Here is a 27,694-nt window from a genome sequence, read left to right on the forward strand (position 1 = left end):
GGCTAATTTTTGTATTTTTCAGTAGAGACGGGGTCGCACTATGTTGGCCAGGCTGGTCTCAAACTCCTGACCTCGTGATCCGCCCGCCTCAGCCTCCCGAAGTGATGGGATGACAGGCGTGAGCCACTGCGCCCGGCCTAACATCACACTTACTAAAACAGCATGTTGGCCGGGTGCGGTGGCTCAGGCCTGTAATCCCACCACTTCGAGAGGCAAGGTGGGTTAATCACTTGAGGTCAGGAGTTCAAGACCAGCCTGGCCAACAAGGTGAAACCCCTTCCTACTAAAAATACAAAGAATTGGCCGGGTGTGGTGGCAGGCACCTGTAATCTCAGCTGCTCAGAGGCTGAGGCAGGAGAATCACTTGAGCCTGGGAGGCGGAGGTTGCAGTGAGCCGAGATGGCATCATTGCACTCCAGCTTGGGCAACAAGAGCAAAACTCCGTCTCAAACAAAAAAACTGCAGGTATTTACTGCAAGCCTCTTTTGAGCCAGGCAGCTAACCAATCCACGTAGGTCATCTGCGCAGTCCTTGCTGTTTGCTCTACTTGACACTCTTCTCTCCATGGCTCTGTTCAAACATCGTCTTCTCAGTGTGGCCTTTGCAGGTCACCCTACATAAGATTTCAACCGTTTCCCCCACCATTCTCTCTGCCTTCCTGTTTTTCTCTATAGGACTTAGCACAGTTCCACTTTTTATACTCTATCCTCTCACTAGAATGCAGGACTTATTTGTTGAATATTGGATGTGTGTCAGTATTTTTAAATTTTCCCACGTTGGTCTTTGGGCCACACCAAGGTTGCAGTAAGATTTTATTTTGGCTGGGGGCGGTGGCCCACACCTGTAATCCCAGCACTTTGGGAGGCTAAAGTAGGTGGATTGCTTGAGCCCAGGAGTTCAAGACCAGCCTCAGCAACATAGCGAAAACCCCCTCTACAAAAAATACAAAAATTAGCCAGCATGGTGGCATGCACCTGTAGTCCCAGCTACTTGGGTGGCTGAGGTGGGAGGACTGGTTGAGCCAGGGAGGTTGAGGTTGCACTGAGCCATGATTGCGCCACTGCACTCCAGCCTGGGTGACGGAGCAAGACCCGGTCTCAAAAAAAAGAAAGATTTTATTCTGAAGATTGTGGTTTCCCCCCACAGCTGAAACTACTTCTCATTTGCCTGAGTAATTGTAACTAATATTAATTAAATTACCCTCGGCCTGGGGCTGGGCTGAACCTTCTATGAAAACCTTGACCCAGGGTCAGCTGATGATAAGAGTGCGGCAAGGCCTCACCCCTTACCACTCAGTTTAGAGTACGGCAGAGGGGCATCTTGAACCTGGGCTGTGACACTAATGGCTCACCCTTAGTGAGCTGAAGTCCCAGAGAATGAGCTGCACATTTCATATATGTTACAAATTTAATCTTCCATCTTTCACATTCGTCTATCTTCCCACTCTCAAGTATCCCCGGTGCCCCCGACATTTCTTCACTACCAAAGCCAAGGACACAGGAAGCCACAGACTAAGGAGTTCACAAGAAACTGATCTTTACTCAACAAAGTTCTACACAAGTGGAATCTCACGCCACCTCGGCGCCAATCCCCAGCACAGCACAGTAACAAATGGACAGACCCGGGAGCCCGCAGGGGGAAGAGGGTGAGGAGGGAAAGAGGGACTGTGGCTCAAGGCCAGTCTGGGTCCACAGCCCTGGGTAGGGGAGAAGGTTGAGAAGCTGAAACTTCATTGTGCAAAAAACAACCAAAAATAAATTAAAAAATTAAATAGTTTTTTTTTAAAAAAAAAAAAAAAAAGGAAAACGAGAAGAACCAGGCTCCCCTTCCCTGAAGGTGTTTGTATCCCCCCATCTTGAGTAGCGAGGGGTTACCAATCCCATCAGACAGCCAATCCATCCACACACCCCAAGACCCAGCAGAGGATGCTTCAAAGAACTGGAATTACCAGAAAATTAAAAGGTATTTTTAAAACTTTTTTTTTTTTTTTTAACAAATGGCTTCCAGAGACCTGCTCGAGTTTCATGGGGTGGGCGTGCAGGGACACCCAGCTAATTTATGGAATGTGTACTGAGTGCCCCTTGGAATAGATGCAGGGCCTGACCCTGACTATGGAAAGACACAGGGCTTGGATGGAGGGTCTGGCGCCCAGGAGGGATGGATGGAGCAGGCCCCAGGATGCGAGACTCCAGTCAGACTCCAAAACACAAGGGGCTCCCCAAAGAAGTAGAAAGCAGGGAAGGAAAAAAAGGGAAAAAATGCTAAGGGGGTCTGCAAGGCCCAGTTTTCTGGCCAACTGGGAAGTAACTACACCCCCACCCTCTCTAGGGGAGCCCCTTCCACCTTGACCATGTTCCCAGACTATTCCGGAAGGTTCTCTAGAATTGCTGACCCAGTCTAGTAGGATCTCTGGGCTCACTGGGTACTATGATGAGCAGGAAGTCCCAGGGAGATGGAATAGGGAACAGGGGACACACCACCTTTCCCTTCCACCAAGCCTTGGTTTTCCTTTTTGCTGGCAAAAACCTGTGTCCTCTGTCATCATCAATTAAACGCCCCTGCCCCAGGCCTTGAGTTAAAACTGGGGCCTGAAACGTGAGAAGGGGGTTTCAGAAGCACAGAGAAACGGACTGCCCCTGAAGCTGCTTACAGAGAGAGATGCTCGGGGTAGGTGCCAGTAGCTCTGGCTACACCCAGCTCTCTTCAGGAAAAAGGTCCCAACCCAGTGTCTTCAAAAGCCACTGGAGCACACAGGAAGGAGAAACGGTGACCTCTGGCCAGCCCCAGCCACTCCAGTGGTTCTCACCCTGCGAGCTAGGCTAGGATAAGGACGGAGACACCACCAGCTGAGGCTGCAACAAAGCTGGCAGGGAGTGTGTGGAGTGGGTCCCAAGCATGTGCGTGCTGACAGGGCGACTCCCAAGGTCACCATCCTCCTCCCCCCGCCCCGAGATCCCGCCTGAGGCCCCCCACCCACCCAGCCCTCCCCAGTCACCGCCAATTCCGGCAAAACAGCAGAAGCTTCTTAAACTCTAGATGCAGGTTACACGGAAGGCCTTACGGGTTAACTCAGGGGTTCACTAATTCTACTGTCTCCATGCAGTCGGGGAAATGGTGGAGCGGCTGGCCCAGCCTCGCCGGTTATGGCACCCGCACATGCGTGTGGCCATGTGTGTCCGTGTGAGTGTACGCGTCCCTACGAGGGCCCCCCTCCTGACCTGCTCCTCCCTCACCTCATCCGAAGCCGGATTCGGTCAGCTGTGTAATTCCTCCCTCCCACGTAGCTGGCCCAAGTGGGCTGCCAGAGATGACCCTATTAGAGCCCAGGGGCCCTTGCCCACCAGAAGTCCCCCCCACCTCCCCGTTTGTAGGATGAGCATGGTGGCCCCACCCACCTGCCAGGAGGGCAAGTGGACGGATGGACGGACGGACGGACGGACGGGGAAGGCATCTGGATTTGAGTCCCACTCACTCCTCCCTAACCCCCCTCAACCAGGGCACAGCGACTTCCGGATGCAGCGCACTCCCCAGTAATCCCTCCGACGACGACGCAGACAGAAACCTGCAGGGGGAGGAGGAAGGTCATGGCCTGGGACCTTTCGGCCCCCAAGACAGTGCTGACTTGCCAGCTGCAGTCTCCTTACCTGGCAGTCTCCATGATCACCTAGACCCCATAGAAAGCCGCCAGCCTCTCCTTGAGCAGCGGCGGGAATTGCTCAGAGAACTGCTGCCAGTTATCTTCCCCAACTTGGTCTTTGAAGCCGTGGAGAATCTGTGGGGAGGGTGGTGGTGAGGGGTAGGCAGGGGCAGAACAAGGGGAGTGCGCCTCTTCCCCCATCCCCAGGCCCCATTGTTACCAGATGGTCTCACCCCTGCCTGCTCCCGGAACTAGATCAGGGCCCAGACAGAGCCTCACCTTATAAAACATGTCCCGAAGGTCATCCTTCGGGCTCACCCAGGAGGCTACAGCATCGCAGAAGAAAATAAAGTCCTGAAACGTGACGGATCCCAGGTGAGGGGCCGCCCGAGCCCAGCGCCCGCGCCTGCCCTCAGAGCCCAGCTGCCCCAACCTGCACAACGCCCCCCGGGTTGACACCGATCATCATGCAGATGCCGCGGAAGGCTGAGTCCTTCTCCTCGTTGTCCCTGATGTTCCTGAGGGACGTGCACCTGTGGGAAGGTGAGCAGCTGGAGGTCAGAGGGCAGGCTGGGCATGCATCTGTGGAGGGCTGGGTCACTGGGGATCAGTGAGTGGGCCTGGGACATGCATCTGTGGGGGTGGGGCAGGGCAGGGAGTCAGTAGGCAGATGGGGCTGGAAATGCACAGGCGAGGGAGGGGGTTGGGCCAGTCCCGCCCACCACACAGCAGGCTTGACACGTGGACACACACCAAGGCCGGATGAACTGCTGCAGCATGGGTGCCACCTCCTGGGGGCACACGTAGCCCAAGCGGCCGATGGTGATGGCTGGAATGGCAGAGGGACTCGTCAGGCGACCTGCAACCCCGAGCGGCCCCGGGACGGTACGTGGCGGGGCCTCTGGCACAAGGCACCAAGCCCCGCCCCATGAGCCCCAAGGGAATGGCTACTGCAGCCACCCTGGTCCCCCAAGCTTGGCCCAGCCAGGGGTCCTCCTCATCACACCTGAGTCACTTCCCAGGTCTCTCTGCATCTATCTTTCTTTCTTTCCTTTCCCTTTCCTTTTTGTTTTTTTTTGTTTTGTTTTGTTTTTGAGATGGAGTCTTGCTCTGTTGCCCAGGCTGGAGTGCAGTGGCATGATCTTGGCTCATTGCAACCTGCCTCAGCCTCCCGAGTAGCTGGGATTGCAGGCACGTGCCATTACCCCCGGCTAATTTTTGTATTTTTTAGTAGAGATGGGGTTTCACCATGTTGGCCAGGCTGGTCTCGAACTCCTGACTTCAGGTGATCTGCCTCCCAAAGTGCTGAGATTACAGGCATGAGCCACTGCACCCAGCCTGAGGCTGCATCTTTCTTGGGGCTTCTCCCAGTGACCCCTTCCAGGTACTTCCAGACACCCTCCTTGGTTCCTTGACAAGGCTCTTTCTGATGCCCTTCCCAGCCCAGAACCCCACCTCCAGAAGGCAGGCAGGGGTGCAGGCAGCAGCCGGGCCAGGTGCCCACCTGTGTTTTCCAGCAGTGTCTTGGGTGTGTTGGGTCGGTTAATGATTTCCACCAGGTTGTTGAGGACCATCTGCACATAAGGCTGCATCTCTGCCCCTGGGGGAGCACCCAGTCAGAGCCCTGCACAGCCCCCGCCACCCACAGGGGCCAGGGGGCCGCCCCACCTCACTCACTACTCGCCCCAGTTCCAACTAGAGACTGGCCAACCACTACCAGTGAGGAAACAAAAGACCTTCTCCGGCTAATCCCCACCCAGAATCCCTGGCCAACCAGGGACAGACCCACACCCTCCAAACAACAGAGGCTTCTCTGGAGTCGCTAAGGTGACAACACGCTGCCCAAGTCAAAGGAAAAAAAAAGCCAAAGTCACCCAACCAATCCGAATGAGTCTTTTAGCCAACTACACAAAACGGTCCAATCAGAACAGCCCTCCTATCCCTCCTCTTTAGAGAAGCCAATCACAAATGACCTTTCTGCTTGGCTCCACCCCTGACGACCCCCAAGAGACTTGCCTTGAAGGAAGCTGTCAGTCAGAGCTAGGCTCCCGCCCCCAGGTTGAGAACAGGCTAATGGGGGGCGCGTGTTGCCACTTGCAGGGCACTCACCCATCTGCATGCAGATTTCACCAATGGCCCAGGTGGCGTTGTTGCAGACGGAGATGAACTCTGGGTTCAGGTTGGTGCCCAGAATGGGCATGAACTCGGCTGGTGGGGAGAAACAGGGGTGCTGAGAAGGAGGGCCAGCCAGGGTAAGCTGCAGGACCTAGTCCAGCAGGCCCCATCAGACAGTACGAATACATCCCAATGTGGTCACAGTCATCCCCGGGTATTGCTCTCCATCACTTGAGGCCGGGGCTGGGGTCATGGGTTAGGGACAAGGCGAGTGTCGTACCGATACAGGGCTTGACATGGATGAAGCAGGCTTTGGTGAGGTCTCCCAGGAGGGCAAAGGAGCTCTGCCGGACCTCAGGCATCGAGTCCTGGGGATTCAAGTAAGATCAGTGTGGCTAGGCTCCCCTCCTTCTAACCAGGACAGCTCAGGGGGCACAGTCCCTGGTGCATGTCCAGCCTCTGCCACTTTCCAGTTCTAGAGCTCCTAGCTGTTCCTTAACCTCCCTAGCCTCCAGCCCACATCTGCAAATGGGAGATGGCAGTGCCCCAACGGTCATCCCTCAGTGTCCGTGGGGGATTCTTTCCAGGTCCCTGCAGATATAAAAATCCACGGATGTGCAAGTCCTTGATATAAAGTGGCACAGTGTTAGGGCCAGGCGCAGTGGTTCATGCCTGTAATCTCCAGCACTTTGGCAGGCCGAGGCAGGCAGATCACTTGAGGTCAGGAGTTTGAGACCAGCCTGGCCAACATGGCAAAACCCTGTCTTTACTAAAAATACAATAAAATTAGCCAGGCATAGTGGGACACGCCTGTAGTCCCAGCTTCTTGAGAGGCTAAGGCAGGAGAACTGCTTGAACCCTGGAGGTGAAGGTTGCAGTGAGCCGAGATCACACCATTGCACTCCAGCCTGGGTGACAGAGTGAGACTCTGTCTCAAAAAACAGGTGGGGGGCGGTGGGGGGGGCATAGTGTTTGCATATGCACCTATGCACATTCTCCTGTACACTTAGCATCATCTCTAAATCACTTATATCTAATACAATGTCAACAGTATGGGAATAGTTGTTATACTGTATTGTTTAGGGAATAATAACAAGAACAAACTTCTGTATGCGTTCAGTACAGATGTAATTTTTCCTCTGAGTATTTTCAATCTGAGGTTACTTGAATCTTGGGATGTAGAACCCACAGATACAGAGAGCCAACTGTGCTGGGGCAGGGACTTGGGCTTTCACATTTTCTATTTTCTTTTCTTTCTTTTTTTTTGAAGACAGAGTCTCAGTTTATTGCCCAGGCTGGAGTGCAGTGGCATGATCTCAGCTCACTGCAACCTCTGCCTCCTGGGTTCAAGCAATTCTCCTGCCTCAGCCTTCCAAGTAGCTGGGATTACAGGCGCCTACCACCATGCCTGGCTAATTTTTGTATTTTTCGTAGAGACAGGATTTCACCGTGTTGGCCAAGCTGCTCTCAAACTCCTGACCTCAAGTGATTCACCTGCCACAGCCTCCCAAAGTGCTGGATTATAGGCGTGAGCACCTGGCCTCACATTTTCTATTTTCAATACTGTTTGCTTTAAAAAAAATTTTTTTTTTTAATTTTAGAACTGGGGTTTCACTATGTTGCCCAGGCTGGTCTCAAACTCCTGGGCTCAAGCAATCCTGCCTCGGCCTCCAGGATTACTCTTTAAAATAATTAGAACAGCACCTTTTCCCTGATTTCCTTTGGGCACAACCAGGCCCTGACTCCCCACCAGGGGCAGCCCACGCAGGCTGCTGGGTGTCATCACTGTCCAGGGTCCCCACCCACCTGCATGCACTGGAACAGCAATGTCATGATGTTGCTGCGGGCCACCAGCTGCTCCACGTGACCACCCAGGCCCTCGGCCAGGCCGCTGAGCAGATCCAGTGCTACGATCATGAAGTCCTTGTCGGGAGCCTCATACTGCTCAGGGTGCTGGGTGTACATCTAGACACAGATGCCGACAGGGGCACGGGTAAGTGGAGCAGGCCCGAGGCAGGCCAATGCAGAAGCACAGGTGACGGGCCTAGGGTTGCTCACCATGGCCTGAGCCAGTGTCTTCTGCACCAGGGTGACACAGCGCTGGTAGACGGGCTCACAGTAAGGCAGGAAGCCACTCTGCAGGGCGGTGGCCACCGATGACAGACACTGGCAGGGAGGAAGGCAGGTGGGGAGAACTCAGGCAGGGTGGGCAGGATGGGTTTCGGGTGAGGGGCAGGAGCCCACTCACCTCCAGCAGGGGGAAGAGGTCCTTGTCTTCGTCCTTGAGCTCATTCCACTTCTGGATCAGTGGGGGCATCAGCTTCTGGATGTATTCCTGGAGAGGGAGCACGAAATGGGCGCTCCCTGGGTCGGGGTGGCAGACTGTGACTCAGGTACCTGTTGCCCGAGTGATGAGGCCTGAGCGCCTCACCGTGGCTCATGGGACCCTGAAAGGCCTGCCATCTGGCCAGACCTCGAGGCCTTCATTCTTCTCACCTGTCCAAGCACCGCCCGCCCCACCCCACCCCCCGGGAGCCTGGGTTACCACCTCCTGGTTCCCGAAGCACAGCACTTACCACGCTGTCTCATAACTGTCTTTCTCCCCCACTAGACTGGGAGCAGGGCGAGGGCGGGGCCGGGTCTGTCTGTCTGCCTGTCGAGGTCACGGCCACGTCCCTGGCGTGCAACACGGGGTTGCCACCAGGTCACTGGATGCCCAGGGGCACGGGGATCGGGAGGCGGGAGCCGCTCTGGGGTCTCACCGGCTGGTTGAGGTGGTGGCCTACAGAGTCGGCCAGGGTGCCAATGGCGTCATAGAGGATGAGCAGGTTCTTGTGCTGGTATTTCCCAAAGGCAAAGACAAGGGTGTCCAGGATGTAGCTGAGGTAGGGCACCAGCTCCGTGCAGGCCTCTTCCTCCAGGGTGGCAAAAGCACTGGTGGGAGGGAGGATGAAGCGGGGGCTCAGTGGACCATGGCAGGTGACACTGGGCCATGGGCAGTTGGGGAGGGCAACTCAGGATCAGCCAGTACGAATACGCGATAAATCAGTTCCACATCAACAGTCACAGGTGTCATCACTTCCCAGAGGGTGGCCGGGGGAGAGTGGGGGCTGTGGGATCAGGGGTCCAGGGTCACCTGCAGGCCGCCTCCTGTACCCTCTTGTTGCCATCCAGGATGCGTTTGAGCAGCTCTGTCATCAGGGGCTTGAGGTGCATGTCGGGTGGCTGGCTGACCACCCAGTGGGCATAGCGGCTCAGCGTCCAGCAGGCGATGGAGCGGACCAAGGCCTTCTTATCCGACAGGCACTGGATCAGGTGCGGGATCAGCTCAGGCAGGTAGGGCACCATGCCCTGCATGCAGCCTACAAGGAAAGGGAACCAAGAGGGGGCAGTTTGATTGGGCCCAGCCACACCCACCGTATGGAGAGAAGAGTCAGCCGCACACAACATATAGGGAAACTGAGGCTTAGAGTTTAAATCACTGGCCCAGACTCATTTCACAGAGCCAGGTAAAGGCAGGCACAGGAGGGGAAACAACAGAAGCCTCTCATCCCAAAGCCCCGGGTTATCTTTATTTTTTTTTGAGGCAGAGTCTCGCTCTGTCGCCCAGGCTGGGGCGCAGTGGTACGATCATGGCTCACCGCAACCTTCACCTCCTGGTTCAAACAATTCTCCTGCCTCAGCCTCCCAAGTAGCTGGGATTACAGGCCTCTGCCACAATGCCCGGGGAATTTTTTATATTTTCAGTAGAGACAGGGTTTTACCATGTTGACCAAGATGGTCTCAGTCTCCTGACCTCGTGATCCACCCGCCCTGGCCTCCCAAAGTGCTGGGATTACAGGCGTGAGCCACCGCGCCCAGCCAAAGAGCTCCGTGTTATTGCGTTAATTCAATTCATGCATTAATTCATGTGTTAATTGAATTCATGTGTTAATTCAAAATTGGCTCCGTTACATAGTGAGTGGGGTTTTATGGGGCAGCAGTGACCCAAATGGAATAAAAGCACTTTGCATTTGAAACAGTTCTTAAGATGTTTGTGAGTTTTCTTTTTTTTTTTTTTTTTTTTTTTTTTTTGAGATGGAGTCTTGCTCTGTTGCCCAGGCTAGAGTGCAGTGGTGTGATCTGGGCTCACTGCAGCCTCTGCCTCCCGGGTTCAAGTGATTTCCTGCCTAAGCCTCCCAAGTAGCTGGGACTGCAGGCGCCCGCCACCATACCCAACTAATTTTTATATTTTTAGTAGAGACGGGGTTTTACCATGTTGGCTAGACTGGTCTTAAAATCCCGACCTCACGTGATCCCACCTCAGCCTCCCAGAGTGCTGCGATTATAGGTGTCTGGCCGTTTATGATTGTTCTATTTCTCCTTATTTTTGTTTAATTTTTTAATTTATTATTATTATTTTTTTGAGACGGAGTCTTGCTCTGTTGCCCAAGCTGAAGTACAGTTGCACAATCTTGGCTCACTGCAACCTCCGCCTCCCTGATTCAAGCAATTTTCCTGCCTCAACCTCCCCAGTAGCTGGGACTACAGGCGTGGGCCACCACGTGTGGCTAATTTTTCATATTTTTAGCAGAGACGAAGTTTCACCGTGTTAGCCAGGCTGGTCTCGAACTCCTGACCTCAGTTGATTCAACCGCCTCGGCCTCCCAAAGTGCTGGGATTACAGGCGTGAGCCACTGTGCCCAGCCATTTTTAACAATTTTTTAATGTTTTCTTTGAGACAGAGTCTCGCTCTGTCCCCCAAGGAGGAGTGCAGTGGTGTGATCTCCACTCACTGCAACCTCTGCCTCCCAGGTTCAAGTGATTGTCGTGCCTCAGCCTCCCAATAGCTAGGACTACAGGTATGCACCACCACACCTGGCTAATTTTTGTATTTTTAGCAGAGATGGGGTTTTGCCATGTTGGCCATGCTGGTCTTGAACCCCTGGCATCAGGTGATCCACCCGCCTTGGCCTCCCAGAGTGCTGGGATTACAGGCTTAAGCCACCACACCCAGGGTTTTTTTTTTTTTTTAAAATATCACGAACTCTGCTCTTTTATTTAAAGAGAACAAAGATAATAGCACATTGCCAATAATCCAAGACACAAGATCTATGTTTACCAGTTTGAGCTCAACTCCTATAGATCTTTTTACCATAAACATGTAATACAGGCCGGGTGCGGTGGCTCACGCCTGTAATCCCAGCACTCTGGGAAGCTGAGGCAGATGGATCACCTGAGGTCAGGAGTTCGAAACCAGCTTGACCAACACAGTGAAAGAAACCCCGTCTCTGCTAAAAATACAAAAATCAGCCAGGTGCGGTGGTGGACACCTGTAATTCCAACTACTTGGGAGGCTGAGGCAGGAGAATCTCTGGAACTCGGGAGGCAGAGGTTGCAGTGAGTCAAGATTGCGCCATTGCACTCCAGCCTGGACAGTAAGAGCAAAACTCCGTCTCAAAAAAAAAGAAATTAGCCAGGCCTGGTGGTGAATTCCTGCAATCCCAAGCTACTCTGGAGGCTGAGGCAGGAGAATTGCTTGAACCCGGGAGGCAGAATGTTGTTGCAGTGAGCCAAGATCACACCACTGCACTCCAGCCTGGGCGATAAGAGGGAGACTCCATCTCAAAAAAAAAAGAAAAAAAAAAGAGGCCAGGCGTGGTGGCTGGCTGGGCAAGGTGGCTCACACCCGTAATCCCAGCACTTTGGGAGGCCAAGGCAGGCAGATCATGAGGTCAGGAGATAGAGACCATCCTGGCCAACGTGGTGAAACCCTGTCTCTACTAAAAATACAAAAAAATTAGCTGGGCGTGGTGGCATGCACCTGTAGTCCCAGCTACTCAGGAGGCTGAGGCAGGAGAATCACTTGAACCTGGAAGGCGGAGGTTGCAGTGAGCCAAGATCATGCCACTGCACCCCAGCCTGGCGAGAAAGCAAGACTCAGTCTCAAATAAATAAATAAATAACACAGCTTATGTAATCTATTAACATATGTAAGCGTATTGTGTGATATATACCCTATTAACATGAGATATGAGATACATTAAACACATATTACATGTCGAAACATTTCTTTAGACAATTTTTTTTTGAGACAGGGTCTCAGTCTGTTCTCCATGCTGGAACGCAGTGGCGCAATCATGGCTCACTGCAGCCTTGACCTCTCACCTCAGCCTCCCAGTTAGTTGGGACTATAGGCACTTACCACCACGCCGGCTAATTTTATCAGGTTTTTTTTTTTTTTTTTTTTGGTAGATATGAGGTCTCACTATATTGCCCAGGCTGGTCTTGAACACCTGGGCTCAAACGATCTGCCTGCCTCAGCCTCCCAAAGTGCTAGGATTACAGGCATGAGCCACCACACCTGGCCTTTTTAAAAAATTTTTTGTAGAAAGAGGGTTTCCCTATGTTGCCCAGGCTGGTCTCGGACTCCTGGGCTAAAGCAGTTGTCCTGCTTCAGCCTCCTGAGTAGCTGGGATTACAGGCGTGCACCACAGTAACTAGACAAATTTTAGACAAATTTTGAAAGCTTACAAGGTTGAGGGTTTTTGCTGCCATGCCTGAAATTTTTGGCACAGGTCTGGATGCTGAGGCAATGGTATATGATGCCTCCAACGGACTCACAAAGCCCTCCTGTAACAAGTTTTATGTCCCACCGGGACCATGGGAGCCTGAAAACCCCACCGATTACAGAACACCAGGTTGAATTTGATGAAACACCACCTACCACGGGTTACTACTGACTCTGGCAGGCCAGCCCGGCAGCCAGGAACAGGTTTAAGGCCCAGACACACCCTGAGTGACTGTAAGGAAGTGGCATCAATCTTTCTGTACCTCAGTTTCCCCATCTTCGAAACTGGGATCCGGCACCCAGCTCATCAGGTGGTGGTGAGGGCCAAGGATGTTTGTCTACATAAGTGCACGAGGCAAGCATGCAGCTGTGCCTGCTGTTATTATCATTGTTGCTGTAATTATGCTTACAACATGAAAGAACTACCTGCCTGCAAGAATGAACAAGAGGCCTTGCACTGTGGGGCTCCAGGGGTTCCTTTCAGGCCCAGGAACCAAGGGGAGAATTGAGATCTCAGAGCTGTTTGGAGTGGGGTGAGTAGGCCTCCAGGGAGAACTGAGGCATTGGTGTGGCTAGTAATGTGGGCCAGCCCTACAGTCTCATGCCAGCACAGGGCTCAGAGATCAGGCGCACTCACCCTCAGCAATGGCGCCCAGCACCAGGATGCCCGACTCCTTGACCACCCACTCGGGGTGGAAGAGGAGGCCTTTGAGTAGTGGGAGTAGGTGGGGCAGCAGTTCCTCCCGGAAGACATTGGCGAGGACGTCCAGTGCAGCCGCTGAGCACTTCCCTGGGGAAGGGGGAACAATGGGGAGGCTCAGGGCGGCCCCTCAGGCAGGTGGCCGACCCTCCTTGACTGCACTCCCAGGATCAGAGATCATGCTCAGAATCTTCACGATCAGCTTCTTTTTTTTTGTTTTGTTTTTTTGAGACGGAGTCTCACTTTTTCCGCCCAGGCCGGAGTGCAGTGGCGCTATCTCGGCTCACTGCAAGCTCCGCCTCCTGGGTTCATGCCGTTTTCCTGCCTCAGCCTCCCGAGTAGCTGGGACTACAGGCGCCCGACACCACGCCCGACTAATTTTTTGTATTTTTAGTAGAGACGGGGTTTCACTGTGTTAGCCAGGATGGTGTTGATCTCCTGACCTCGTGATCCGCCCGCCTCAGCCTTCCAAAGTGCTGGGATTACAGGCGTAAGCCACTGCGCCCGGCCACGATCAGCTTCTAATCAGCTTCTGCCTCAGCTTCTAGTCACCTCCCAAGAGGGAGTCCAGGGCTTGCCACCCCACCACCACCCCCAGGCAGGGGCACACACTCAAATTCCAGTCGGACAGAGCATCATCATCATCGTCATCCTCCGCGTCCTCGGAGCCATCAGGCCGCTCAGCCTCGTGGGGCAGTGTGACCGTGCGTGACTTGTGGAAGCGTGGCTTGATGTCCTGCTCACTGTCGGGGACAGCCTCATCCTCCTCCACATCCCCCTGGGGGACAGGCAGACTGTTAAGTACTTTGGGGACCACAGCCGCGACACCCACGCCCATGCCCACCCATGCTGGGTGGGCCCTGCCTGACCTTGAGCAGGATGATGTCAATTTCCGAGTACTTCATCCCATTCACCAAGATGGGGATCAACCTGCACAGAGAGGGACTGTTTATGGGGATGCAGGGGCCGTGGCAAAAGTTGGGGGGAGGCACAGCTTGGGGAGGAGGCAAACAGGTGCCAACAGAGTGACCAGCCCCCCAATCAGCCACAGAGCAGACCCTGCAGAGCATGATGGTACTGCTAGGTGCAAATTGATCCATTTCCCTCTGGGGAATTATCGGAATCTAGTCTCTGCCGCTATGATTAGGATATAAATGATACCACTCCTGCCTCCAGAGAAAGGTTTTTTTTTTTTTTTCTTAAGAAGCAGGGTCTAACCCTGTGGGCGGCAAGCCACCCAGGCACCGAGGCAAGAGACAGAGGACACGAGCTGTTCCAGTATAATAAAATATAAAACAAGAATAGTTATACCAGATATAGATCTTAGATATGATTATATATGAATATCATTAATCATTAGTTTGTAGCAATTACTTTTTATTCCAATATTATGATAATCCTCGCTCTATAATCATAGCCTAGGAAAAACCAGGCCATACAGAGATAGGAGCTGAGGGGACATAGTGAGGTGTGACCAGAAGACAAGAGTGCGAGCCTTCTGTTATGCCCGGACAGGGCCACCAGAGGGCTCCTTGGTCTAGCGGTGACGCCAGCATCTGGGAAGACGCCCGTTACCAGGCGGATCATGGTCCAGCGGTAGCAAAAGGTGTCAAGGAACAACACCCGCTACTTAGCAGACCAGGAAAGTGGGGGAGTCTCCCTTTCCCCGGGGGAGTTTAGAGAAGACTCTGCTCCTCCACCTCTTGTGGAGGGCCTGACATCAGTCAGGTTTGCCCGCAGTTATCCGGAGGCCTAACCGTCTCCCTGAGATGCTGTGCTTCAGTGGTCACACTCCTAGTCTGCCTTCATGTTCCATCCTGTACACCTGGCTCTGCCTTCCAGATAGCAGTAGTAAATTAGTGAAAATACTAATAGTCCCTGATATGCAGAAATAATGGCATACGCTGTCTTTCTCTTTGTCTACTCTCCCTCTCTGCCTCGGCTGCCAGGCAGGGAAGGGCCCCCTGTCCAGTGGACACGTGACCCATGTGACCTTACCTATCATTGGAGGTGACTCACATTCTTTACCCTGCCCCTTCTGCCTTGTATGCAATAAATAACAGCGCAGCCAGACATTTGGGGTCACTACCGGTCTCCGCGCATTGGTGGTAGTGGTCCCCCGGGCCCAGCTGCCTTTTCTATTATCTCTTTGTCTTGTGTCTTTATTTCTACACTCTCTCATCGCCGCACACAGGAAGAGACCCACCGACCCTGTGGGGCTGGTCCCTACGTAACCCTATCACCCAGGCTGGAGTGCACTGGTGCGATCACAGCTCACCACAGCCTCATGCTCCTGGGCTCATGCAATCCTCCTGCCTCAGCCTCCCAAAGTGCTAGGATTATAGGCGTGAGCCATGGCACTCAGCCTGCAGGAAAGCTCTTGACCCAGGCCTGGCCACTCAGTGGATTATAGACCCCTGAATACACTGAAAATCTTGGTACAGTGCCTGGTCCCTAGCACAACATTAAGGCAGGGACATGCGGTCCTATTCCTGGCCACTTTCCTGAGATAGGGCAGAGACTAGCCAGAGTAGGGGAGCAAACAGACTAGGCAGCCAGCCCCTCAGCTGCAGCCCAGAGTTGTAAGTGACAGAGCCTTCATCACCTGCTCATCTAGGTCTCATCACTCCCCAGGAGCCGTCTGCCCAGCCCTAGACTGTTATCAATAATTTGGGGCCGGGCACAGGGGCTCACACCTGTCATTATAGCACTTTGGGAGACCAATGCAGGAGGATTGCCTGAGCCCATAAGTTTGAGACCAATTGGGACAATATAGTGAGACCTCACCTCTAATGAATGATAAATAAATAAATAAATAAATAAATAAATAAATAAACATACAATATGCTGGGCGTGGTGACTCACGCCTGTAATCCTAGCACTTTGGGAGGCCAAAGTGGGCAGAACACAAGGTCAGGAAGCTGAGGCAAGAGAATCGCTTGAACCCGAGGGGCGGAGGTTGCAGTGAGCCGAGATTGTGCCACTGCCCTCCAGCCTGGGCAGCAGAGTGAGACTCCGTCTCAAAAACAGAAATTTCAAAATAATAATAATAATGATCTGGGGGCTGGGTACAGTGGCTCGCACCTGTAATCTCAACACTTTAGGAGACCAAGACAGGAGGACTGCTTGAGGCCAGGGATCCGAGACCAGCCAGAGCAACTTAGCAAGACCTCATCTCTACTAAAACTTAGAAAAGATTAGCTAGGTGTGGTGGGATGTGCCTGTAATCCCAGCTACTTGGGAGGCTGAGGTAGGAGGATTGCTTCAGCTGGGAGGTCAAGGCTGCAGTGAGCCATGATTTTGACACTCCACTCCAGCGTGGATGACAGAGCAAAACCTTGTCTCAAAATAAAAAAGAAAAAAATGATTTGGAGAGAGGCAAGCAATCCAAGTTTGTCAAGGAGGGTCAGTTTTAGGACTTTTGTTGGAAACACTGGTCGAAAATTTCTTTACTCTGAAGTTCCTAAGCTGGAAGGGCACAGAAGGCTACAGCACTACCCAGAGGGAAGGTTGTGCCTAAGAATGAAGCCAACACAAGGGAAGCAGATCTGAGACCACAAAGATGCCTTTCACATCCTTTGAGCTCCTGGATACAGCCATACCCCTGAAGCCTTTGTTGATTTTTCATTTCTTTTTTTTTTTTTTTTGAGACGGAGTTTTGCTCTGTCACCCAGGCTGGAGTGCAGTGGCACGACCTTGGCTCACTACAACCTCAGCCTCCTGGGTTCAAGCAATTCTCCTGCCTCACCCTCCCAAGCAGCTGGGACTACAGGCGCCTGCCACCACGCCCAGCTATTTTTTTATATTTTTAGTAGAAATGGGGTTTCACCGTGTTAGCCAGGCTGGTCTCGATCTTCTGACCTTGTGATCTGCCCGCCTCGGCCTCCCAAAGTGCTAGGATTACAGGTGTCAGCCACCACATGTGGCCATTGATTTTTCATTTCTTTCCACCTATCAGTTACCTAATTTTGAAGTCTTCAAAAAGTGGCATTCTTACCACTTACACATAAATATATACTGAATGTAAACTGACAAGGATGTGGACTGAGAGAAGCACAGCAGGTGACCAGAAGGGAAGGCAGAGGCATAGCAAGGGGTCGAAGCTGGGGTAGGACAGTGGGCAGCAGCAGCACTCACTGGACCAGATGGGAGGCCAGGACTTCCTTGCAGATGGGCTGCTCGGCCAGCGTCAGCCAGAACTCACAGGCCTCAAGGGCAACGTTCTCATCATGGTCCTGGGTCCTCTGCAGCATGTACTGTGGTAGGGGGGAGAAGCTGAGGCCTGGCCTGGCTGGGGGTGGCTCCCTGACCCCTGCCACCGGCCCCCTGCCTGCCCGCCTGGGCTGGCCTTGACCATGCACACCTGGATGATGCTGTGCATGTGGGGGATGAGCCTGTCAATCCGCACTTCCAGAAGCATCACCAGGGCACGGCACACATTCTTCCGCACCTCGGGGTCATCATCCACAGCCAGGGCAAATAGGTGCTGCAGGGAGGAACAGGGTCAGTTGTAGGGGCCCTCAGTCCTCGCCCTGCCCACCCCCAGCCCAGCGGCCCACCTCGATGAAGGTGTCAATATTGTCCATCAGCGCCTGGGCCCGGTCCATGATGAACTGGTTCACGCAGGCGATGGCGTGGGACCTGGCGGGGAGCAGACACGTGGGTCACCCTGACCCTGCCCACTCCAGGCTCCCTGGAAGCCCCCAGGGAGCTGCACCCACCGGATCTTGGGACTGCAGTGCTTGAAGAACTGCAGGAACTTGGGGATCATGATGTTGAGGGGCCTGTTGAGGGCGTCACTGTCCAGAAGCTCTGATGAGTCTTCACAGATCTTCTGCAGGGCTCCAAAGGCTCCCTGAGTGCAGAGGGGCAGAGAGACAAACGTGGGTGGTGGGTGGTGGTCCCAGCCCCCCAGTACTCGCTCTGGCCATCCATGGCTTCTTGCCTACCTCACAAGTGTTGTAATCCTCCGAGTTAAGCAGGTTGCAGAGCTGGGGCAGCAGCTCGGGCCACATCTGCAGCTCACCCTTGGAAGCGATGGTGGTGATGAGAATGCCTGGGGCGGCCGGGAAAGGACGCTGCCTGAGGCTGGGCAGGGGCTGCCTAGCACCTCCCCCTCCCACTGGACACCCCCAGTGCTGCCTTTCTGTTCCCTAGCCCATGTACGCCCTCTACATCCCCCCTCCTTTTTTTTTTCTTTGTAAGAGATAGAATTAGCTCTGTTGCCCAGGCTGGACTGCTGTGGCACAATCAATAGTCCACAGCAGCCTCAAACTCCTGGCCTCAAGCCATCTTCCTGCCTCAGCCTCCTAAGTAGCTGGGACTGCAGGCACATGCCACCACGCCCAACTAATTTTTAAAATTGTTTGTAGAGATGGGATCTCACTATGTTGCCCAGGCTGGCCTAAAACTCCTGGCCTCAAGCAATCCTCCTGCCTTGGCCTCCAAAAGCACTGAGATTACAGGCGTGAGCCACCGCTCCTGGCCTTGACATAGGTAGAAGGGTACTCCTTGACTCAGTAGGCACCCTGAGCCTTACTGTGAGTCAACTCTGTTCCAGGCCCTGAGGCACAGCACAGAGCAAAACACAAAATCCTCACCCTTGGGAGCTGGAAGCAAGCTATGAAGTAAAGATAAATTAGCAAAAAAAACTGGGAGGGGCCGTGCATGGGTGGCTCATGCCTGTAATCCCAGCACTTTGGGGGACCGAGGTGGGTGGATCACTTGAGGTCAGGAGTTCGAAACCAGCCTGGCCAACATGGTGAAACCCCATCTCTACTAAAAATACAAAAATTAGCTGGGTGTGGTGGGGGGCACCAGTAATCCCAGCTACTTGGGAGGCCGAGGCAGGAGAATCACTTGAACCTGGGAGGCAGAGGTTGCAGTGAGCAGAGATCGCGCCACAGCACTCCAGCCTGGGATGGAGCAAGACTCCATTTCAAAAACAAACAAAACAAAAACAAACAACTGGGAGGGGCCACATGCCAAGGACTAAGGGGGGAAATACAGCAGAAAAGATGGTGAGAAAGGGCTGTAGGTGAAGGTAGCAACTTTAAATTGGGTGGCCAGAGCAGGCCTCGTTGAGGTGACATCTTGATATCTGAGCCAAGGCCTGAAGGAGGTGAAGGAGGCGAGGGAGGAATCATCCAGGTTTCTGGGGAAAGGGCATCTGAGGCAGGGGACTCTATGGTGCAAAGGCCTGGCGTAAGGACAGGCATGATGAGAGAGGGAAAGGAGGTAAGGGCAGGAAGGTGGCAGGGATGCTTGTACTGCCTATTAGATATCCAGGAGTTACATACAGCAGGCATCTGAGGTGCCAGGACAGTGCACATATCTGGTGACAGAGCTGGATATGGGTTCTGTTAAGTGCAGAGATGGTATTTGCTGCCATGAGATGGCAGTGTTTCCCAAGGGTGGAAACTCAACGAGAGAAAGGTGCTCCCTGCAATGGGTAGGTACACAGTGAGGATTGTGGAACTTTAGCCACACCCCCTCATTCTGTGTGCCTCAGTGCTTCCAGCCCTCAGAAGAGATAAAGAAAACCAGCCTCCTAACTAAGGTTATCAGTAGGTTTCTTTTTCTCTCTTTTTTTTTTTTTTTTTTTTTGAGATGGAGTCTCACTCTGTAGTCCAGGCTGGAGTGCAGTGGCACAATCTTGGCTCACTGCAACCTCCACCTCCCGAGTTCAGGTAATTCCCCTGCCTCAGCCTCTGAAGCAGCTGGGATTACAGGTGCCCGCTGCCACACTCAGCAAATTTTTGTATTTTTAGTAGAGATAGAGTTTCACCATGTTGGCCAGGCTGGTCTCGAACTCCTGACCTCAGGTGATCCACCTGCCTCAGCCTCCCAAGGTGCTGGGATTAGAGGCGTGAGCCACTGTGCTCAGCCTGGATCAGTAAGTTTCAATGACTTAGCAAAGAGCCTGGCACATAGAATGAGCTCAGGAAGTCCACATCCTACTACTGGCCTGGGAGGGGGTTTTTGCAGGACTAAAAGTTACTTTTTATTTTTGAGATGGAATCTCAGTCTGTTGCCCAGGATAGAGTACAGTGGCATTATCTTGGCTTACTGCAACCTCTGCCTCCCGGGCTCAAGCAATTCTCCTGCCTCAGCCTCTCGAGTAGCTGGGATTACAGGTGCCCACCAGCTGTAATTCCCAAGTAATTTTTTGTATTTTCAGTAGAAACGGAATTTCACCATGTAGGCCAGGCTAGTCTCCAACTCCTGATCTCAAGTGATCCGCCTGCCTTGGCCTCCCAAAGTGCTAGGACTATAGGCGTGAGTTACCACACCCAGCCAGAAGTCATTTTTTTTGTTTTTATTTTATTTAGTTTTTTTTGAGATGGAGTCTTGCTCTGTTGCCCAGGCTGGAGTGTAGTGCCGCAATCTCGGCTCACTGCAACCTCTGCCTCCTGGGTTCAAGCAATTCTCCTGCCTCAGCCTCCTGAGTAGCTGGGATTATAGATGTTCACCACCACGCCCAGCTAATTTTTTTTTTTTTGAGATGGAGTCTCGTTGTATTGCCAGGCTGGAGTGCAGTGGCGCCATCTCGCCTCACTGTAACCTCCAACTCCTGGGTTCAAGTGATTCTCCTGCCTCAGCCTCCCGAGTAGCTGGGACCACAGGCGAGTGCCACCACGCCCAGCTAATTTTTTCTATTTTTAGTAGAGATGGGGTTTCACCACATTGGCCAGGATGGTCTTGATTTCCTGACCTTGTGATCCGCCCACCTCAGCCTCCCAAAATGCTGGGATTACAGGTGTGAGCCACCATGCCTGGCCAGCTAAGTTTTTTGTATTTTAAGTAGAGACGGGGTTTCACCATGTTGGCCAGGCTGGTATTGAACTCAACCTCTGGTGATTTGCCTACCCTGACCTCCCAAAGTTGCTGGGATTACAGGCGTGAGCCTATTCTTAGTCATCTTTCTGTAACTTCCTCAGGCCACCTTCCAAGAGTCAGAAAAGGCTCTGCTGAAAACCTAATTCCGTTGCACCTGAAACATGAATACCTGCATTATTTTAACTGCTATACCCTTAGCACTCAGCCCAAGGCCGAACACAAAATTCTAGATGTTGCATGACTGTCTCAGAGCCAAGAAGGACTGTTTCAGGAGGGAGTGGTTCCAGAGCGTGGCCCTGCACTGCCTCAGCTGTTTCTGACTTCTGCTGCTTACCCAGACAGGTCCCTTAATAGCTCAGCGCCTCAGCTTCCTCATCTATCAAATGGCAATAGTAATAGTACTACCATAGAGGGTGCCAGAGCATTCCATGAAGCACTACACTTAACATGCTGAGAAGTGAGAGTTCAGTGTGTCCTCAGAGGCCAACCCCCGCTGCCCCTCTCACCAATGGTGGCTCGGATGAGCGAGGAGGCATCGCCAATGTTGTTGAGACACTCCTGTTTGATGAAGTCTGCCACAGGGGGTGGGAAGCTCTGATAGTGTGCCTTCACGTTGTTCTTGAGGATGAGGCCACTGAGAGAGCGCGTTGGCTCATCTGGGAGGAGGAAGGCTGAGGTTCAGGGGCCCAGGGGGAGAAAGCAGGGTCCCGATCGCATGGAAGGGAGCAGAGGGCGTACCTTCTGACTTGAGTCTGGTCAGGACGAAAATCAGGTAGTTGTTGAAGTCAGGAAACTGATTGAGTTGTTTGAGTTTCTGCCAGGCTGTTAAGGGACTTGGAAGACAGAGGCCTTCCCCCAGCCAGGTCCCCTCATTATGTACCTGACACTATCTCTGACCACTGGGACCAGGCTGCCAGCTCCTGGGGGATCCCGCTCCCTAATAAGCCCACAATGACACAGAGCACCTCAGACACGTCAAATTCATATAAGGGGCCGGGCGCGGTGGCTCACGCCTGTAATCCCAGCACTTTTTGGGAGGTCAAGGCGGGTGGATCACAAGGTCAGGAGTTCGAGACTAGCCTGGCCAGCGTGGTGAAACCCCATCTCTACTAAACATACAAAAAAATTATCCGGGCATGATGTGTGCGTGCCTCTATTCCCAACTACTTGGGAGGCTGACGCAGGGGAATCGCTTGAACCCAGCAGGTGAAGGTTGCAGTGAGCCGAGATTGCGCCTCTGCATTCCAGTCTGGGCGACAGAGCAAGACTCCATCTTGAAAAAAAAAAAAATCATACAAGGAGTTGGGTGGAAATGTCTGAGTTTCCCATCCACTCCTGAAGACCCAGCCAGAGCAGGAGAGGGAAGGAGAATCCCACTCCTCTTAAAGTGGCAGCTACTAGTCAGCGATCCCCACTAACAGGCCATGAAGACTTTTTTTTTTTTTTTAAAAGAGGGAATCCAAATTTTGGGGTGAGTCATGCTCATGGTTTAAATATTTATTTATTTATTTTCAGACAGAGTCTCACTCTGTCACTTAGGCTGGAGTGCAGTGGCACGATCTCCGCTCACTGCAACCTCCGCCTCCCAGGTTCAAGCGATTCTCCTGCCTCAGCCTCCCAATTAGCTGAGATTACAGGCTTCTGCCACCACACCTGGCTTAATTTTTGTATTTTTAGTAGAGACAGGGTTTCTCCATGTTGGCCAGGCTGGTCTCAAAACTCCTGACCTCAGGTGATCCGTCCGCCTCGGCCTCCCAAAGTGCTGGGATTGCAGGCGTGAACCACCGCGCCTGGCCTATATATCTTTTCTTTGAGACAGGGTCTGGCTCTGTCGCCCAGGGTGGCTGGAGTACAGTGGCACAATCTCAGCTCACCACAACCTCTACCTCCTGGGCTCTAGCCATCCTCCCACCTCATCCTCCCAAGTAGCTGGGACTACATGTGCATGCCACCACACCTAGCTATTTTTTGTATTTTTTGTAGAGATGGGGTCTCCCTATGTTGCCCAGGCTGGTCTCAAACTCCTGGGCCCAAGCGATCTACCTGCTTCGGCCTACCAAAGTGCTCCGATTACAGGCATGAGCCACCCCGTTGGGCCAGGGCCTACTTTAATAGTTAATGGAGTAGATGCTAGCGTTCGATGAACATTAGGAATTTTCATCATTTTCTATAACAATCCCCGCAGCTCTGGAAATGGGACCCAGGAATTGTAATCCTTCTCTGTCCAGGGCAGATCCTCCGCACAGCAGAAAAAATCTGGGGACTAGGGGAGTCAGTCCCTCTCTTTCTCTCTCTGGCCTTTGGAAACTGCACGCATCTACCCGGCTCCCCCAGCCCCGGAAGGAAGGAAGGATACATCCTGCACGATGCGCTGAGTGGCTGTGTTGGGCGACTGTGAGTCTTTGAGCAGCTGCAGGACCTGCTGCAGGCCCTGCTCGTCTGGCTGCCAGTCCATGGCGCAAGGCAAGCTGCGGAGGTAGGGGCCGGGGTCAGCGCTGGGTCTCTGGGGCTCCGTGTGAGACCCAGGTGGAGCCCCTGAGGCCGCGGTGGCCGCATGACGACGGGAACGCCCTCGGCGGACAGGCGGAGGCCTCCGATCCACGCCCGCCCAAGTGCGGGGTCCCCGCCAGCTGCGCCATCCTCGGCCGCGCAGTCGCGGGCTCGGGAGCGCGGGAGGGGGGATGTGGAAACGGGCCACAGGCGGCGGCGGCGGGGCCCGGCGGATCCTCATGGGACCCAGCGAAGAGCCCTCGTCCCAGGGTGGCCCATGCCGCTGACCCCGGCTCCGAGCCCGAAGGCTTCCACCTCCCTCGCAGCGGCTGGGCGAGGGCCCAGCCGCCTCCACATCCAGGGGCCCCGCCCCAGACCGTGATAGCGCCCCGGCCCCCGTGGTCTCTTCTATGCAGGCACAGTCCCTGAAGAGTCCCCTTCCCCCGACACTCTGCCCTTAACTTCTGCCAGATCCCAGAGGCCTCCTGCCCTAGTCCAATTTCTGAGCTTCCCCAGATGCGCCCTCCCAAGACGATCGTCCTGATCTCTCCTGTCCCCTGTTCCTGCCCTTCAAGCTCAGTGGATGCCAGATATCCCCCTCTGTGGCCTAGCCAAATTCTAAGGATTCCCCTTAATCAGGCCCAAAGCAGTCCCCAGGTAGGTCTCTGCTGCCTCTTCGAATGAGAGCCAGCCAAGCCCGGCCAACCCACTATAGGAGCCCCCTGGACCGATCCCAGTCGCCTTCCCCAATCAGGTCTGGCCAAGCCTCTCCCTGAAATTCCCTCCGACCCTGTCAGCAGTAACCCCTGCTGACGGATCTCTGTTGCCTCTCCCAGTCAAGTTCGGCCGAGCCCCCCACCACCTCGTGTCAGTAACCCCCTGGTCCGATCCTTGCAGCCTCCCCCAGTTCGGCCTGGGTAAACACCCCCCGGGGCATTCCCCTCAACGGATCCCAGCAACGCCTCGAAGTCAGATCCAAGAAAACCCTCTAGGCCGAAGTCTGACGCCCCTCCCTGTCAGGACCCAACGAGCTCCCCTCCCCCCACCCCGCTCAACTTTTCAGTGCGGCCTCCCCCAATCAGACCCAACCAAGCCCCACCGAAACAGGCCCCTACACACACCCGATCCTCGCGACGTCCCCCAATCAGGCCCCAAGCAGTCCCCAGACGCTTCCCCCAATCAGATCCCCTCCAGCCCGACCCCAGCAGTCCCACTGGCCCTCTTCTTGAGGAGCCCCGACATGGCCTGGCTCCGAGGCCCCACCCCCTAAGCTCTGCTCGGTTCCCCCCTCCCCCGCCCGGCCCGTTCTAGCTGCCAGGAGGATCGGGCCCAACCGGCTTCCCGGCCTTTCCCGGTCGGGCGCGGCCCCGACGCCCGGGCCGCGCGCGGCGCAGGCTCGGTGCCCGGCGGGGGTCGACGCAAGCCGGGGCCAAGAGGGTCGGGCTCTGAGTGAGGCCCACTTACCCGGCCCCGGGCAGCAGCGGCGGCAACTCGCGCTGCGGCTTCTCCAGAGACTCGCGCGGAAGGAGGGAGCCAAAGAGAGAGAATTAAAAAAAAAAAAAAAAAAAAAAAAGAAAGAAAGAAAAAAAAAAAAGAAAAACGCGGCCGTAGGTGAGCCGCCGCGGCTCCCGTACTCCGTTCAAACTGGTCCCGCCGAGCCAATCGGAAGGTTCAACCTTCACACGTGCCCTGGCACTTGGGAAACCCGGGCTGAGACAAGGTCCGGTCACGTGACCAAAGAGTTGCCGTTTCTTTGGCCTCTCTAGCCAGCCGGTCCTCCCAGTGTCTCGTTTTCCCAGCATCTTTCACTGACCTGACCGCAAGCTCTTTAGCTGGAGCCAGGAGTTTGGTAGCGCGTGGGGACTTTGTGTGTGATGGATCCAGGAACCCCTCGGCCAGAGCCAGCACCCTCCTTGTCACCTTCCTCCACTAAAAATTGAAATGTGCCTCCCTTCCCCCATCCAGAGGTACTTGGGAGGAGTACGCTGTGTGTGCGCAAGGAAAGAGCTGAGCGTGCTCTTTATACCCCAGAGACAAAGGAAAGAAAGCAGGACAAAGTAAGTGCCTGAGACAAGCCGGGTTCCTACAGAAGCCTCTGCCACTTTTTGCATTATTTTCCAGTACTGTTTGATAGTTTTTACAAGGAGATGAAAAAGCCACAAGGATATAAATTTTTGAATAAAACGAAATGAACTAATAAAATAAACTTTGAACCACGCCTAATCCCTTTCCCTACCTGAAGTTGAATGAGGTGGAACAGCGCAGGAAATTCTGGCAAGGGCAGGGTCATGAAGAAAGAAATCTTCTTGATCCTTGCGACGTCTGAAGACAGTAGGGCACCGTTTTTCCTTCTCTTGAGAGAGGAGCAGATGGTAAAAAGCTGGAGACCCTGTAGCGTCTTGGTTTCCCCTCCCTGCCCTGCCGATAACAAAGTGGGAGACCTCCTGCCACTTGAAGCCTCAGTTTCCCCACTTGTCAAATGGGTATAAGAGCAGTTCGCGCGATTAGAGATCATCCAAGTTAAGCATGACCTGGCCAGCTCTGAATTGTTCCTTAAAAACGTGGCTTTACCCTCCAAGGCTCAAGGCTGTTCTTTTACTGTATTCAGCCCCTCCCTAAGCCGATATTTAATGAATTCACCAGCTCTAATCCCAAAGAACAACCCACCCTGCCCTGAGGAACTTTTTGACCCTCGAGAGAGGCAGAGGTCAATTTTTGCCCCTGCCTGAAGGAGGGGAACAGCTATCTCAACCCACTTGCCGTAGGCAAAGTCAGTCCCGGCTCCGTTCATTCATGAAAATCAAGTCCCGGGCCTCCAAGGTTAGGGAAGTGTCGGCAGGCGCCTAACTCCACTCGGAGAATCGCGGAAGACACCCTAAAGGAGCAGTTGGGATTCCGAGGTAGCCAGTTCCGCTGGACTGAAACCTGGGCTGAGAAACACGTGCAGAAAGCCGCCACCAAGGCATGCGTAAAGGCCTCCCTCTCCCCCACCCTCCGATAAGCCCTGGAACTACAAATCCCGTCCTGCCATGCGCCAGGGTCGCCGCGCTTTGGGGTTTTGGCTGAGACTCAAATTGGCAGGAGGGTCTCTAGACCAACCGAGGTGCATGGGGAGCAGAAGAGTGAGACTGGGGAGCTGGGGCTGGATTTGGGGGTTCCTGGAGCGAGTGTGAACGATAAGAGCTTTCTGGTCAAATTTGGGGGCTGCCCCAGATAAAGATCAGATGGGGAGCGAGTTTGGGATGCAGGAGACAATTTGTTAAGGTTCACCCCCTTCATATAATATGGCAAATTTTCAGCGGCCCTCCGCAAGCCTTGGGGCAGAACAAAGTAGCCCCTGCTGCATGTGTGGTCCACATTGTTGGCCCTTGTGTGGTCACGGAATTTTTTCTTCCTCTCCAGCTGGTGAATTTGAGTGTTGAATCAGGACAAGGTTTTGGGTTTTTGTTGTTTTGTTGTTTTTGTTTTTCTATTTCTTTGTTTTGTTTTGTTTTGTTTTTGAGACGGAGTCTCGCTCTGTTACAAGGCTGAAGTGCAGTGGCGCGATCTCAGCTCATTGTAACCTCCGCCTCCCGGGTTCAAGCGATTCTCCTGCCTCAGCCTCCCGAGTAGCTGGGATTACAGGCATGCGCCACCACGCCCGGCTAATTTTTTTTAATAGAGATGGGGTTTCACAATGTTGACCAGGATGGTCTTGATTTCTTGACCTCATGATCTGCCTGCCTTGGCCTCCCAAAGTGTTGGGATTACAGGCGTGAGCCACCGCGCCTGGCTTTTTTTGTTTTTTTGTTTTTTGAGATGGTGTCTTGCTCTCATTGTCCCGGCTGAAGTGCAATGGCTCAATCTCGGCTCACTGCAACCTCCGCCCCCGGATTCAAGCGATTCTCCTGCCTCAGCCTTCCGAGTAGCTGGAATTACAGGCGCCTGCCACCACGCCAGGCTAATTTTTTGCATTTTTAATAGAGATGGGGTTTTGCCATGTTGGCCAGGCTGGTCTTGAACTCCTGACCTCAGGTGATCCACCTGCCTCGACCTCCCAAAGTGCTGGGATTACTGTGCCCGGCCCAGTTTTCCTATTTCTTTCTTTCTTTCTTTTTTTTTTTTTTTTTTTTTTTTTTTTTTTTTTTTTGAGACACTGTCTTGCCCTGTCGCCCAGGCTGGAGTGCAATGGTGGGATCTCAGCTCATTGCAACCTCCGCCTCCGGGATTCAAGCTATTCTGCCTCAGCCTCCCGAGTACCTGGGACTACAGGCACCCGCCACCACACCCAGCTAATTTTTGTATTTTTAGTAGAAACAGGGTTTCACCATATTGGCGAGGCTGATCTTGAACTCCTGACCTTGTGATCTGCCCGCCTTGGCCT

General features: G+C 53.6%; 1 protein-coding gene and 2 non-coding genes across 19 annotated transcripts, besides 12 other annotated features; all 3 read right to left on the reverse strand.

Annotated features, from left to right (window-relative positions):
- Positions 1-1,519: 1,519 nt before the first annotated feature.
- TNPO2 (transportin 2) lies at positions 1,520-26,251 on the reverse strand. Of its 17 annotated transcripts, none has more exons than NR_167977.1 (26): positions 26,088-26,251; positions 25,568-25,684; positions 23,198-23,309; positions 21,580-21,655; positions 21,348-21,497; positions 17,952-18,029; positions 17,724-17,857; positions 17,562-17,643; positions 17,366-17,488; positions 17,140-17,258; positions 13,872-13,932; positions 13,615-13,780; positions 12,940-13,092; positions 8,889-9,114; positions 8,515-8,686; positions 8,001-8,087; positions 7,811-7,918; positions 7,559-7,717; positions 6,033-6,120; positions 5,747-5,845; positions 5,142-5,237; positions 4,391-4,466; positions 4,071-4,170; positions 3,917-3,991; positions 3,645-3,772; positions 1,520-3,562 (listed from the first exon to the last, which is right to left on the reverse strand). NR_167977.1 is itself a non-coding variant. In NM_001382237.1 (26 exons), exons 3-25 carry the CDS (start codon positions 23,294-23,296, stop codon positions 3,665-3,667), a joined length of 2,664 nt encoding a protein of 887 aa, NP_001369166.1. In that variant the 5' UTR covers positions 23,297-23,309; positions 25,568-25,684; positions 26,092-26,251; the 3' UTR covers positions 1,520-3,562; positions 3,645-3,664. The 17 variants fall into 17 exon arrangements, 11 of the variants coding, with proteins under 11 accessions (NP_001369166.1, NP_001369169.1, NP_001369167.1 ...); NR_167976.1 differs by having other exon boundaries at positions 4,391-4,496; NR_167975.1 differs by having other exon boundaries at positions 3,917-3,963; positions 17,952-18,058.
- Positions 3,457-4,656: an enhancer, noted in NCBI's record as "CDK7 strongly-dependent group 2 enhancer chr19:12811952-12813151 (GRCh37/hg19 assembly coordinates)". NCBI's record gives its function as "activates an origin of replication core promoter dependent on BRD2, BRD4, P300/CBP, MED14 and CDK7 cofactors, with strong dependence on CDK7, by STARR-seq in HCT116 cells {active_cell/tissue: HCT116}" and the evidence as "EXISTENCE:reporter gene assay evidence [ECO:0000049][PMID:35650434]".
- Positions 3,934-4,543: an enhancer, noted in NCBI's record as "H3K4me1 hESC enhancer chr19:12812429-12813038 (GRCh37/hg19 assembly coordinates)". NCBI's record gives its function as "activates a minimal SCP1, AML or CMV promoter by ChIP-STARR-seq in naive H9 embryonic stem cells {active_cell/tissue: H9 hESC(naive)}" and the evidence as "EXISTENCE:reporter gene assay evidence [ECO:0000049][PMID:30033119]".
- Positions 5,154-5,763: an enhancer, noted in NCBI's record as "H3K27ac-H3K4me1 hESC enhancer chr19:12813649-12814258 (GRCh37/hg19 assembly coordinates)". NCBI's record gives its function as "activates a minimal SCP1, AML or CMV promoter by ChIP-STARR-seq in primed H9 embryonic stem cells {active_cell/tissue: H9 hESC(primed)}" and the evidence as "EXISTENCE:reporter gene assay evidence [ECO:0000049][PMID:30033119]".
- Positions 5,764-6,372: an enhancer, noted in NCBI's record as "H3K4me1 hESC enhancer chr19:12814259-12814867 (GRCh37/hg19 assembly coordinates)". NCBI's record gives its function as "activates a minimal SCP1, AML or CMV promoter by ChIP-STARR-seq in primed H9 embryonic stem cells {active_cell/tissue: H9 hESC(primed)}" and the evidence as "EXISTENCE:reporter gene assay evidence [ECO:0000049][PMID:30033119]".
- SNORD135 (small nucleolar RNA, C/D box 135) lies at positions 5,916-5,990 on the reverse strand. Its single transcript, NR_132756.1, has one exon. It is a non-coding gene; the product is annotated as a small nucleolar RNA, C/D box 135 (small nucleolar RNA).
- Positions 8,768-8,837, reverse strand: SNORD41 (small nucleolar RNA, C/D box 41). The gene has a single exon (NR_002751.1). It is a non-coding gene; the product is annotated as a small nucleolar RNA, C/D box 41 (small nucleolar RNA).
- Positions 23,410-23,549: a silencer, noted in NCBI's record as "silent region_10157". NCBI's record gives its function as "represses an Ori minimal core promoter by ATAC-STARR-seq in GM12878 lymphoblastoid cells {active_cell/tissue: GM12878}" and the evidence as "EXISTENCE:reporter gene assay evidence [ECO:0000049][PMID:35858748]".
- Positions 23,560-23,639: a silencer, noted in NCBI's record as "silent region_10158". NCBI's record gives its function as "represses an Ori minimal core promoter by ATAC-STARR-seq in GM12878 lymphoblastoid cells {active_cell/tissue: GM12878}" and the evidence as "EXISTENCE:reporter gene assay evidence [ECO:0000049][PMID:35858748]".
- Positions 24,166-24,784: an enhancer, noted in NCBI's record as "H3K27ac hESC enhancer chr19:12832661-12833279 (GRCh37/hg19 assembly coordinates)". NCBI's record gives its function as "activates a minimal SCP1, AML or CMV promoter by ChIP-STARR-seq in naive H9 embryonic stem cells {active_cell/tissue: H9 hESC(naive)}" and the evidence as "EXISTENCE:reporter gene assay evidence [ECO:0000049][PMID:30033119]".
- Positions 24,611-24,700: a silencer, noted in NCBI's record as "silent region_10159". NCBI's record gives its function as "represses an Ori minimal core promoter by ATAC-STARR-seq in GM12878 lymphoblastoid cells {active_cell/tissue: GM12878}" and the evidence as "EXISTENCE:reporter gene assay evidence [ECO:0000049][PMID:35858748]".
- Positions 24,785-25,402: an enhancer, noted in NCBI's record as "H3K27ac hESC enhancer chr19:12833280-12833897 (GRCh37/hg19 assembly coordinates)". NCBI's record gives its function as "activates a minimal SCP1, AML or CMV promoter by ChIP-STARR-seq in primed H9 embryonic stem cells {active_cell/tissue: H9 hESC(primed)}" and the evidence as "EXISTENCE:reporter gene assay evidence [ECO:0000049][PMID:30033119]".
- Positions 25,201-25,350: an enhancer, noted in NCBI's record as "active region_14074". NCBI's record gives its function as "activates an Ori minimal core promoter by ATAC-STARR-seq in GM12878 lymphoblastoid cells {active_cell/tissue: GM12878}" and the evidence as "EXISTENCE:reporter gene assay evidence [ECO:0000049][PMID:35858748]".
- Positions 25,403-26,021: an enhancer, noted in NCBI's record as "H3K27ac hESC enhancer chr19:12833898-12834516 (GRCh37/hg19 assembly coordinates)". NCBI's record gives its function as "activates a minimal SCP1, AML or CMV promoter by ChIP-STARR-seq in primed H9 embryonic stem cells {active_cell/tissue: H9 hESC(primed)}" and the evidence as "EXISTENCE:reporter gene assay evidence [ECO:0000049][PMID:30033119]".
- Positions 26,022-26,638: an enhancer, noted in NCBI's record as "H3K27ac hESC enhancer chr19:12834517-12835133 (GRCh37/hg19 assembly coordinates)". NCBI's record gives its function as "activates a minimal SCP1, AML or CMV promoter by ChIP-STARR-seq in primed H9 embryonic stem cells {active_cell/tissue: H9 hESC(primed)}" and the evidence as "EXISTENCE:reporter gene assay evidence [ECO:0000049][PMID:30033119]".

This window comes from Homo sapiens, chromosome 19 (genome assembly GCF_000001405.40).
Source record: "Homo sapiens chromosome 19, GRCh38.p14 Primary Assembly".
Taxonomy (NCBI): Eukaryota; Metazoa; Chordata; class Mammalia; order Primates; family Hominidae; genus Homo; species Homo sapiens.

Bases quoted from the DNA above. Each gene is read 5' to 3' on its own strand.
- TNPO2 (NM_001382240.1), bottom strand. From the start codon at position 23,296: ATGGACTGGCAGCCAGACGAGCAGGGCCTGCAGCAGGTCCTGCAGCTG. The intron at 21,656-23,197 runs GTATCCTTCCTT...ACAGCCTGGCAG, and splicing joins CTCAGCGCATCGTGCAGGAT to AAACTCAAACAACTCAATCA. The intron at 13,093-13,614 runs GTGTGTGCCCCT...CCCCTTCCCCAG, and splicing joins TCTGTCCGACTGGAATTTGA to GGAAGTGCTCAGCGGCTGCA.